The 12,175-nt window shown below is 38.3% G+C and overlaps 1 protein-coding gene across 8 annotated transcripts in view; it reads right to left on the bottom strand.

Moving 5' to 3' along the window:
- The window catches only part of PHACTR2 (phosphatase and actin regulator 2), a 294,308-nt gene that overhangs the window by 46,926 nt on the left and 235,207 nt on the right, over positions 1-12,175 (bottom strand). For all 8 annotated transcript variants that reach the window (NR_172204.1, NR_172205.1, NM_001394736.1 and 5 more), the window contains 4 exons: positions 11,803-12,002; positions 10,045-10,201; positions 6,877-6,932; positions 980-1,041 (listed from right to left, as the gene is read on the bottom strand). Coding sequence is in view for 6 of the 8 variants with exons in the window: in NM_001394736.1 (NP_001381665.1) it covers positions 980-1,041; positions 6,877-6,932; positions 10,045-10,201; positions 11,803-12,002 (475 nt within the window). In the remaining 2 variants the exon portion in view is untranslated. The remainder of the gene's footprint in view (positions 1-979; positions 1,042-6,876; positions 6,933-10,044; positions 10,202-11,802; positions 12,003-12,175) is intronic.

The raw sequence follows: 12,175 nt of genomic DNA, 5'->3' as shown, positions 1-12,175 counted from the left end.
ATTTGTCAATCTGGGTAGCACTGTAGCAGGCAGGCTGGATGATCAAGTTCACTTAATAAATTACTTACCCAGCTGTGATGTGGAATAGTGGGAAATCTTCAGGAGTAACAAATTACTTACTTGTTTAATATTTCCAACACTAAATGGAAAGTGTGAGCATTTTAAGAAATAATTTTTATCATAATTAAAAACTTTTTTCACTTCTTTTTTTCTTTTTTTTTTTCATTGTTCTAATCAAGCGAGATTAATTTTCAATTAATTCTTTTTTTTTGAAACAAGGTCTCACTATGTTGTCCAGGCTGGTCTTGACCTCCTGGGCTCAAGCAATCCTCCTGCCTCAGCTTCCAAGTAGCTGGGACTACAGGTGCGTGCCATTGCACCTGACTCAAAACAATTTTTTAAAATGGAAATACATGCATTGAAATGTTAATAATGGCTGTCTCTGAATGAAAGACATGATTTTATTTTTTTCTTTTTTTGTGTCTTTAAAAATTTTCACACAGAGTACATACTTTCATGGAGTAAATGCAACTTAAAACCCTTGTTAATTATTCAAAATTAGCACAACACACAATCAGAAACATCACTCATAGCATGTGCATTATATTGATTTGTTTTATTTTATTTTATTTCATTTTTTTGAGACAGGGTCTCATTCTGTCTCCCAGCCTGGAGTGCAGTGGCACGATATCAGGTCACAGCAACCTCTGCCTCCCAGGCTGAAGCAATCTTCCCACCTCAGCCTCCTGAGTAGCTGGAACTACAGGCATGTGCCACCATGCCGGCTAATTTTTTTATTTTTTGTAGAGCTAGGGTTTCACCATGTTGCCCAGGCTTGTGATTTTGATGTCTATGATTATAGACTAATAGGAATAATTATTTCTAAACATCTGATTTACACATACAGAGAGGATTAGTATTTTTTTTTAAAAGTATATCTCAAAACACATATGCTCATTAATAGTTATGATTTCATTACCTTTCTGCTGAGTCTGCGTTTAAGTTCCATTTTTGCTTCTTGTTCCTCTTCTTCATTCTTTTCTGTTTATTAAAGGAGGAAAGTCGTGATGACAGTTACTATAGATGATTTCATATTCAGAAAAGTGTATCAGGCCACGATCATGTGACTCTAACAAATAATGATCAAACACACAACCAACATTGTTAAAAAGTTGTCAAAATATTTTGTAGGAAGGTTGATCATCTTACACACACACACACATACACACACACACACACACACACACACACACATGCTTTTTTTGTAGGACTGGTTTGCTTTACTAATTTTAAACGTTTTTGCTTCCTGATGTCTTGTTGTATTCTTAAAAAAACCACAGGAGTGCCCATATTCTAATGAAAGCCCTCTATTGCTGATCATTTCATGGGCTTATAAGCACAATTTACCAGAATTCAGATAAAAATTTACTTCTGGATCTGGCCTTCGTGTGAAAATCTGAGACATATTAAAAGAGCAAATTAGAACCATCCGATGCATGTCTGAGCTGCTGATTTCCACTCAAATCCAACCAAAATATTTGATTTGTCTTCCTTCGTTTCCATAGAAGCAGAATGTAAGCATTTCCTTGGACTTTGCTTTCAAACCAGAATGTTCTAAATGAGGTTATGATGTACTCTGGGTGGAAATTATTTATTTTCTTGTGACTTTGCCTTTCCAAAGTCTTCTCGTTCTCTAGTGATTCACCAAGTAGTACGATTTTATGCTGCCCAACAGATGGGATTTAAAGAAAAATGTCCAAAATTTTTAAAGAAATAAACACCCCTTCAGGTTTTGCTGGTTGTTGCTTACTTGAGGAACATCTCTCTGTTGCTTCGTTTAGCTGATCATCTGTTTGATCAGTGAGCATACATTTTGCTTCTTGGATACCGATGCTTATGAAAGATTATGTTTTAGAAAGTGCTATTATGAACTCTTTTGCAGGAAAATAACACCATATAAAGCCTTGACCAAAAGGTTGAAAAAGGAAAACTTCTTCTATTTGTTTATTTATTTTTATTTTTATTTTATTTTTTGAAACGGATTCTCGCTCTGTCACCCAGGCTAGAGTGCAGTGGCGCGATCTTGGCTCACCGCAACCTCCGCTTCCCGGGTTCAATTAAAAAAAATTTTTTTAATCCATGACAGGTATGAAATATATTTATTTTATAATTCAAATAGACTTCTTACAACTAAGATTATTTTTACTGTGAATAACATATCAGTATTCAATATTTGCAACAGCTGTATTTGTTAGTTGAACAGGCTAAATTCTCTATCAGTTTTCCTTCTCTGAACAGGGAAAAGTTTCTATGTTCTTCTGAAATAATAACTTTAATGCATAAGAAAGAAGGTGATTAGACAAAGAGTGGACATAAACTGTAATCATCCACAAGACAAGAAACAATGAGTTAATATCCTTTCATTTTGTGCCAGTCAAACAAATTTGGTTATAATTTAAATTTCTTCCTATGAAAGTACTCTAGGGTTTTAATTGCTTCACAAAATATATATCCTTTCATATCCTTAAAAATGCATACTTAGGTTCAAAGAATTACCTCATATGAGTTGGATAAAGCTTGTGGATTGTCAAAATACATAATAAACAAATGCCACACTGTGGTTCTTGTGATTTAAACCAGAGCTTTACAAGGTGACACGATAGTGAAAATAACATTGTTGATATTGTTGATAAAAAGTGATGATATTGTTAGTGATATTGATGACATTATTAATAAAAAGAAAAATATAATTCTGAGAACATTTTTGTCAATTCTTCCTATACAGTATTTATGCTATATTTTTAAGGTACTTTTCAAAGATTAAAAAATTGGATATAATACATCCCAAAGCTAACAAATGCTCCAGTCGTCATTAAATACGCAAAAATGATATTTCCTTGAAGGGAATATTTGAAAGTTTTGCCTTATTAAGCATATTGTTCAGCTAGTGCTACCAGGTAACAGTGATGTCTAAAAAGAGAAGGGCCAAATGCAGTTAGGGAATTGAATTCATTTTTGACATCAGAAACTGATTTCTTTAAGTTTTCCATGTTCAAAATTGTACTTTTAGTGAAGTTAGAGGACGAGGGTGAGAGGTAGAGGGAAGCCAACATGACTGTTCCTCTGAATCTTTACTTTCATCTTGTAGAGATGGGCTGTCCCTATGTAGTCCAAGCTTGTCTTGATCTCCAGGACTCAAGTGATCCTCCCGCCTCAGCATCCCAAGTAGCTGGGATTACCAGCATGAGCTACCATGACAGCTTCTCTGAATCTTATTAAACAGTCATTGTAAAATCTCTCATAGAGTCAAGTTTAAACCTTAAACTCAGTATTTGAAAATACACCAAGTTTTTTGTATGCTTCCTTCATTTTTTGATTCACTAGAGGACTAATTATAAAGTAGGATGCAAATCTTTCTGGTCAATTTAAACAGGCTGGTGGGATATGCATGAAGGAAGTGACGTGGTTCATTGACAAATCTTGCTCTCAGTGACTCTCATCAGAGCAGAGAGGGGCGAACATTTCGGACGACCCGCAAGAAGCATTTCCGATAAATAAACAAATAATACATGTGGTTAAACAGCAGCAAGCACCACAGGAAACCCGCCTAGCGAGCAATGTTACCCAGAGAATTTTGTGGATGAGCTAAAAGAAGAAAGAAAAGTATAAAAATACCAGCAATTGGAGTATTATCTTCTTGAGTTGTTAATTCAGATAAAATGGGTTCAAAAAGCCAAATTTTTTTGTGGATTTGTTTTTCTTTCTGCTTTTTACATGTTTCCATGTAGATGTTTTGTTTTTTCAATTTTTGGTGGAGATGAGATCTCACTATATTGCCCAGGCTGGTCTCAAACTCCTGGCATCAAGCAATTCTCCTGCCTTGGCCTCACAAGGCTTTGGGATTACAGGCATAAGCCACCTTACCTGGCCTCATATGGGTGTTTTTAGCAAATGAAAAAGACACACATAAACTTAAAGTGCATTAAAAAAAGCTGGATCAACAGATGCATAGATATGTCATAAAGCAAGATGTTAATGACAGACTATAGATGGTAGATATATGCGGATTTACTGTAAAATTCCTCCAACTTTTCTTCATGTTTAAAAATTTTCATAATAAAATGTTGGGGAAAAATATATGCAGAACTCAATGGCCTAATTCATTTTTCTCTATAGAAGACATGGCTAGAATTACATTCTCAGCTAAATACATCACCTTTCTTGATTAGCAAAAGTTGAACTTTTAAGTACCAAAAGTTGCTTTCTATTTTATCAGTTTTTAGGAACTGGTTCTAAAATGAATAACTAAATATAATATAATATAATATAATATAATATAATATAATATAATATAATATAAATACGTATATGTAATATGTCTTTTTAAAAAGCTCTAGTATCACCAAAATAATTAGGAAAGACATCAAGTAAGGACTGGCATGGTGAATTGACACTAAGAAATATAATTTGTCCTGTGGTCACCAATGAAAACTAATGACATTTATTGGCATCTGACTCATGTTTATTGAACTAGTGATGGGCTCTAAAAATTGTTGAATGTTTTATTCTGTGAATTAGTTTTCTAGTTTGCCAGAAAAGATGCCCTAGTTAGGGCCGGGCACGGTGGCTTACACCCGTAATCCCAGCACTTTGGGAGGCCAAGGTGGGCGAATCACGAAGTCAGGAGTTCGAGACCAGCCTGGCCAACATAGCAAAACTCCACCTCTACTAAAAATACAAAAATTAGCCAGGCATGGTGATGCGCACCTGTAGTCCCAGCTACTCGGGACGACTGAGGCAGGAAAATCACTTGAACCCAGGAGGCGGGGTTGCAGTGAGCCGAGATAGTGCCACTGCCCTCCAGCCTGGGCAACAGAGCAAGGCTCCGTCTCAGAAAAAAAAAAAAAAAAAGATGACCTAGTTAAAGTAAACGTCCTTAAAAACCACACTGTATCACATACTTTTCTACTGTTCTTGAACAAAAGCTGGAGATGAAACATACAAACAAACGAACAAGAGCAATCTATGTGGAAGAACCAAGACACAAACGGGCTGAGTAGAGTGTTTGTAAGTTAGGCCATTCAGTTTCCTGTGACTGCTCAGGGAAAGATGACCTCTCCCAGTTTTCTTCTGCCTCCCTTGGCTGTACAATAGTGGGTCAGGAAATCATAAGCCAGTTATCAGCCTCTCTAGGCTGGAAATATGCCTCTGTTTCCAGAAATAAATATGCTTAGGTGAACTTAGAAGGAAGGAAAAAAAGGGCTGGAGTCAAATCTGAAGTGTCTCACTCTTTCCCAAACCTCCAGGAAAATGGGATATAAAGGCCAATGCAGCACTTAAGATCAACACGCGGTAAGTTTCTAGATCTATGAAACAGTTCCTCAGATAACCAAACTCCATTGTGGTTTGGCACTATTTATCTCACAGGATCAAGAAAGAATTACCCAAAATGTGCTCTTCCCTTTTTCTTCTAGGTATTGGATCAGGCATCCAGTAAGACATAATCTCTGTGTTTTTTAGGAGCGTAGGGTCTGCATTTGAGCATGCTTAAAACTTAATTCAACAAGCATTTCCCAGGAACCTATCATGAAAAGCAATGAACCTTTTTGGTTTGTTTTGTGTCAAAATGAGATGCTGCTTCTACTCTTCCTCAGCAAAGCAAAAACACAAAATTTTCCTTCTTTTCTAGCCGTGAATTTTTCCTCCTCCAAATTGGCTCTTCTATACATTAGTAGCCACTTAAGTCCTTCCTGGAGCTGTATTCTAGTTATGTCAAAAAAAAAAAAGCCAGAAAAAAGCATTCCAAAGAAAGTGATCCCATAGACTGGGTGGATGGTAGTTCCTCTCACTGGATGGTAGTTCATTTTCATTGTTGAATTGATTTCGTACTAACAACTGTAATACAATATGCTACTAAAATCTTTCTTCCCTAAAGGAAAGAAAGTATCTTAGATTGGAGAAGAGGGGTCTTCTAGCAGGCCAAGATAACTCGAAAAGCCTGGCTGACAAGGATTTCCCCCACACCATGGGTCACTACCATTGCAGTACTAGCCGGAGTTTTACCCATCCCTGTTCTTTGATATTTCATACAATAAAAAGATCTTTTGAAACTGGGTTAACAATATATAAAACTACAGCTAGGCTCAATTTAAAAATATCCGTTTCTTAACTCACTGCAGTGCCTGTCCACACTGACACACAATAGCATGACAAACTGTATTTCTATTAGCTTTATAGCTTTAACATACTAACTCCAATAAATACTACTGCAGGGATGAGTAAAAACTAAAGTCAAAGAGAACAGAGGGAAAAACAGAATGGGAAAATAAAGTAGGAAAATGAATGGAGAACGTTTTAGTGCTGAGAAATTATAAACAACTCAAGAAGGAAGCCGAGTTATCATAACATAGGAAAATGCAATGGATTGAAAATTTTGTTTTGAATTGAGCCATTTGTTAAACTAGCAACAAACTGTATTGTTAATAATAATATAGGAATGTTTGATTTGTTTCCTTGTGGATTCTTTTGGCCTTTTCTTTGACATTTATTTGCGAGAAGACTAGAGCATTCTTTTTCTATTTAATATTTGGGTGAAAGAATACATGGAATATATTTCATCTTTCTTAAACACAATTGTCATGACCATGACTCTGCTCTAGGGGCGGGTATAAGGCTCAAAGCCATAAAATCAAATATCAAATTCAAGAAATTAAAAAAATATATAAACAATTACATATAAATGTGACATAAATGGACTATTTCAGTCCATCTTGAGTAAATGAATATATGATGGTTTCTTACTGATAAATCGATCATCTGTAGAGGCAGCTTGTTAGCGATTACACAAGGAATCATTCTATAGTATAGAATACTCACGTTTTAGGATGTTTCTTTGCTCTAATTCTTCAGTTGTGGGCCTCTGGCTCAGCCTCCTATGATGACAAAAAGGATATATTACAGGTTAAAAACAAGGTACCCTAGTAGGAGACTCAGAATAAAACAACAAAGCTCTATTTTTCATGTTTTGAGAAATAAAAATCCATTTTTAAAGCTGCAAAATAAAAGTCTCCTTCCCATTAGTTTGGAGACTACAGATCATGGCTGAGGCTGCTCACCGACCCCCATTACACAGTCTCCTTTCCTTTTAGCAACAGAGCGGCCTGGATGTTAGCTAGGTACCTGACTACAGACTTCTGCCTCCCTAGAAGCCAGGTATCGTGCTGTGACTGAGTTTCTGCAATGGGATGTGAGCAGAATGATGTTTGTTACTTCCCCTTCTCATCCTTAAAATGCCTGGGTGCATGCTCCCTTCTTTCTCTTTCCTTTTTCCACAGGCTAGAACTTCAGCATGATGGTGTGAGCCAGCTTTGATCATGCAGCTGAGACCATCTAGGGGATGGGAGAGCAGCAAGACAGAAGGAATGGGGCTGCCAGGCAGACTTCAAGGAGCCATGCTCCCACCATACTGGATCGCTCACCTACCTGGGGAGTGTCATGTGACAGTAATATTAAGATTACCTGGCCAGGCACAGCATCCTATTTTAGACCCTAATGAGCTATATATTAATTAGACTATAAGCTAAGCTGTAGCAGAGACCAAAAACTGCAGTGGTTCAAACCAGGTATGTGTGGGCCTACAGATCATGGCTGAGGCTGCTCACTGACCCCCATTACACAGTCTCCTTTCCTTCTAGCAACAGATCGGCCTGGATGTTAGCTAGGTACCTGACTACGGACTTCTGCCTGTGAATAGTTAAGTATTTAAAATGCGGTTGTTGCTATGCCGTGAACGCAATCTCCCTTTTTCATTGTATTTTCTTCTATGTAACAATGTTATATAAACATAATGTTGATTTTTATAGGTTAATCTTACATCAAGCAAACCTGCTGAAATCATTATATATAGCAATTTTGGGTCAGTTTTTAGAGCTTTCTAGGTATACAACCATGTATAATAACAGTATATCTTTCCTACAATTTATACCTTTTCTTCACCACAAATAATTGTGACCAGACTTTTAGCACAGTAAGGTTAAGGAATTTTTCTTTGCTTCTGTTTTTAAAGGAAATGACTTTAGGGTTTCTCCCTATAGTAAGATATTTAGTATATATTTTTTAAATTTATTTTTACATTTTTTTTGAGATGGAGTCTCACTCTGTTGCCCAGGCTGGTGTGCAGTGGTACAATCTCGGCTCACTGCAACCTCTGCCTCCAAAATTACTGCCTCAGCCTCCTGAGTAGCTGGGATTACAGGTGCCAGTCATCATAGCTGGCTAATATTTGTATTTTTAGTAGAAACGGTATTTCGCCATGTTGGCCAGGCCGGTCTTGAACTCCTGACCTCAGGTGATCTGCCTGCCTTGGCCTCCCAAAGTGCTGGGATTACAACTCCTCGTTTGTTTAGGATTTTAACAAAAACTTACAAAATTTTCTTTACTGCTACTTTGACATTTATTGAGGTGGGTATAGGATACTTCACACTTTTTTACTCCTTACTATGATAACACTATTATTATTTTATGCAAATATTATTCAATGATTTACATTCTTCTTCATAGTAAAACATAAACAAGAGTAATAAAACAATCAGAAAACCTAGAAGCATATACTCTCTTACATAGAGTAGAAAGTACAAAACAGGAGACAGTATACAAAAGAAAATTGGGCAGAGAGCCCAGGAGCGAAATTCTAATTCTGGTTCTGCTACTCAGTAACTGCATGTCTGTCCTTGAGACATTTCCTTAATCTCTCTGGGCCTCAGAGAGGCCCCTTGTTTTTCCTTGGTAAGATGGCAAGTTTAGAACTGTAGGTTTTTCCAGCTCGATACCATTAATCACGTTAGTCCCTCTTGCTTCTGCTGGCTTTTTCCCGAAGCCAGAAATGGTCACAGGTTAGGGCTGAATTAAGAAGACGAGAGCGAGAGAGACCACTGGTAAACATTCCCAAATTTCTTCCAGAGTCGCAAGAGGGTTTACAGAACAGAGAGACCCTCTAAGCCTCCCCCGAGGTTCCCTGGTAGGCTGTGCTTTTCCTTCAGATAGATGCCACAGCTGCTGTCTCTGACACCTTTCTGCACAACTCAGCTGTAAGGAGGTGCCTTAGGGGTTACTCTTCCTCTGGAGAAATGGTCAGCAGCCTCCATGCCAATCCTGCCTCCAGTTATACCACTTCCAAGCAAGGACAGCAATTTTCCCCCCACCTCCAAATCCTGCTCTGGGATTCTAGACAGTTCCTTTCTCCCAGTTATGCACCCTGTTGTGTATGCAGAGTAAGACAAGTCAGCAGAACAACTAATTCTTACATGTGCTTAAACTGATCATCAAAAATAAGACCTCTGGCATGAATGCTCACTTCTATTAAAACTGCCAGTTAAAGGGACTTGTAAAGTCACCAGTGGCAAAAGCAAAAATCCTATACAATGGTTGGAGGCAGGAAGAGATGTCAGATGATCCATTTACTTGAAGTTGGAAGAGGGATGTTCAGATATGAGGGTTAAGGCTACCTGACTTGGATGGAGGCAGACCATTGAAGGCAAATAATATTTCTGCAGTCTCACAGTCCACAGGGCAGAACCTCATGGCATTCCCAGGAATGCTAGTGAGTCCATAAATTAGGCCAGGATTGTTGAGCAAACTGTGATCTGCAGGCCAAATCCAGCTTTATGAATAAATAAAGTTTTATTGGAACATGGCCACACTCATTTGTTTATCTATTATTTATGGCTGCTTTTATGCTACAGCAGCGCAGTTGAGTAGCTGCAACAGAGACTGTCTGGCCAGCAAAGCCTGAAATGTTTGCCAACTGGTCTTTAAAAAAAAGTTTTTGACTCCTGGAATAGGCTTTGGTGACCTCAAAGCCACTGGCTAGCTGGGCCAAAGGACAGGTTCTTCGAGTGTTTCATCATGCAAGACCAACTTTAAAAGACCCAGTAGGCCAGATGTATCTGTACATAAGGAATTCACAATGACCCCAGTTAGGTAGGAAGCTTTGGGAGGGAGAAAAATACAAATTAGTCAGTACTGTCCTAAAATGTTAGCAATTACCTGACTAACTTGGTTCCAATTTGTTGTCGGATTTCCTGCCTCTCTTCTTCAGATGTACGCTGCAAGATGTTTTTGTCCTCTAGTTCTTTCTTAGATGGTCTGTTGCCAAGTTTGATAGCAAGAGTATCCCTCCGGCGTATTTTACTTGCCAAAGCACCTGAGGATTGAAAAAGAGCAGAAATGCAGAGAGAGAGGCTTTTAGCCAGTGGCACTCAGGTTACACATGGCATGGACTTTAAATAGAGCCCAGACCAAATTCTTTCTCCTCATGCAGGAGGAGAATCTTAATTAACCTAAGGAAAAAAAGACTTTGAGTTGGATGCAGTTCATTTTGAGAGGACTGAAGCGCTATTTCTTTTTAATGTTCTGAAAAATATTGGGACACCATGAAAAAACTTAGAAGTATCACTTCATCGTTTGGAAAGTGATAGCTGCAGTTTATTTTGCTGAGAGGGTGGATCATAGAAATGAATGATTGCACAATTCTGTTTCTTTTTCAAGTTTAAAAAACTTAGTTCTTTTGCTTTTATTCTGTACAGTTAATCCTTGTCTCCTCCTTTCCTCTACTCAGACGCCATCCTGGCAGAGTCTACCAATGTTTAACCCTTAATTACCCCAGAATCCTGAAAATTTCAACAAATGATAAGTAACACCACATGGATGATAATGGTTTTTTTTTTTTTTTGCTCCATGCAAATTAAAAGGGATTTGAAAAAGTGCCATTTAATCACTAATATAGTAATAACTTGCCATAATCTACAAATTCAGTCCACAGTGAATCCCTCCCATGTTATCCAGCACAAAGTTAAAAAAAAATAAAAGCACTTTCCATATCTCTAAGTTATATTAGGTTGATGCAAAAGTAATTGTGGTTTTTGCCATTATTTTTAATACATAAATGATATTATTATTTCCTAGAAGGCCTACTATCTTACTTATTGTGGAAGTATGATTTTTTTTAATGCTAGCAAGGTATTTAGCATTCTTTTTATTATTATTTTTTGAGATGGAGTCTCGCTCTGTCTCCCAGGCTGGAGTGCAGTGGCGCGATCTCAGCTCAGTGCAACTTCTGCCTCCTGGGTTCAAGCGATTCTCCTGCCTCAGCCTCCCGAGCAGCTGGAATTACAGGCGTGCGCTAGCATGCCCATCTGGATTTTGTATTTTTAGTAAAGATAGGGCTTCGCCATGTTGGCTAGGCTAGTCTCGAACTCCTGACCTCAAGGGATTCACCCACGTTAGCCTCCCAAAATTAGACATGAGCCACCGTGCCCAGCCTCTTAATGCTAATGAGGTATTTGGCATTCTTGACTCATTCCTCCTTCCCCTTTCTATAAACCCCAGTACAAAAGCGAGTGAAAATTTCAAACACCTCCAATGAGTAAGCCTATGAATCTGCACTGACTTTCTTTCTTCAACAACAGGCCCAGAGTGGAAGGGCTCTCTTTGGTCATAGTGAGAAAGGTCTCTGTTATTAGAAAGCTTTGATTCTCAGCACAAATACTAATATGCACATCTAGCACATCTAGCTCATCTAGCTCATCGACAAAGGCCAGATCCAGCCATGTGACATCATCTTCTGGAAAGGCCTCCCATCAAAAGCTAAACTTTAGGATATACACATTTCTAATTTGAGAAAGGAGGATGAGGGGAAAGAAAACATCAGATGTCTGGTTCCTAATGAGGCTTTTATTCTTTATAAACTGCAGCTGCTTCTGCTTATCACCCACGCTCCTCCCTGCCTCTTGAAAACAGTCTTACTTTCTCCACTGCCATCCTCATCTTCGTCTTCGTCCTCATCATCGGTGTACAAGATAGGCCCGTCCGAGTCAGAGTCATTGGCTTGGTATTCCCTGTGGCCTTCATCTTCTGAGGCACTAAAGGATTCTGAAGATTCGCCCATCAGCCCAGGAGTCAGTAGCTGAGGCACTGTCTTCCCCAGCTCCTCTTTGGTTGTGAAACTGTTAAAGGCAGAAAAGCATGGGAGTGATGTGAAGCTCAGAGCAACCCTTGGCGGCACTGACACTAAGAAAAAGAGCTCTAGTTTCATGGGCTTCCTTCAGGCTGAGGAAAGCAGACACTTGACATAGGCCAGGCTAAAGTCACTGAAATGAAACCTTAATTCTCAAGGTTT

This window comes from Homo sapiens, chromosome 6 (genome assembly GCF_000001405.40).
Source record: "Homo sapiens chromosome 6, GRCh38.p14 Primary Assembly".
Taxonomy (NCBI): Eukaryota; Metazoa; Chordata; class Mammalia; order Primates; family Hominidae; genus Homo; species Homo sapiens.
The sequence above is the reverse complement of the archived record's forward strand: the minus strand, read 5'-3'. Positions and strand labels throughout refer to the sequence as shown.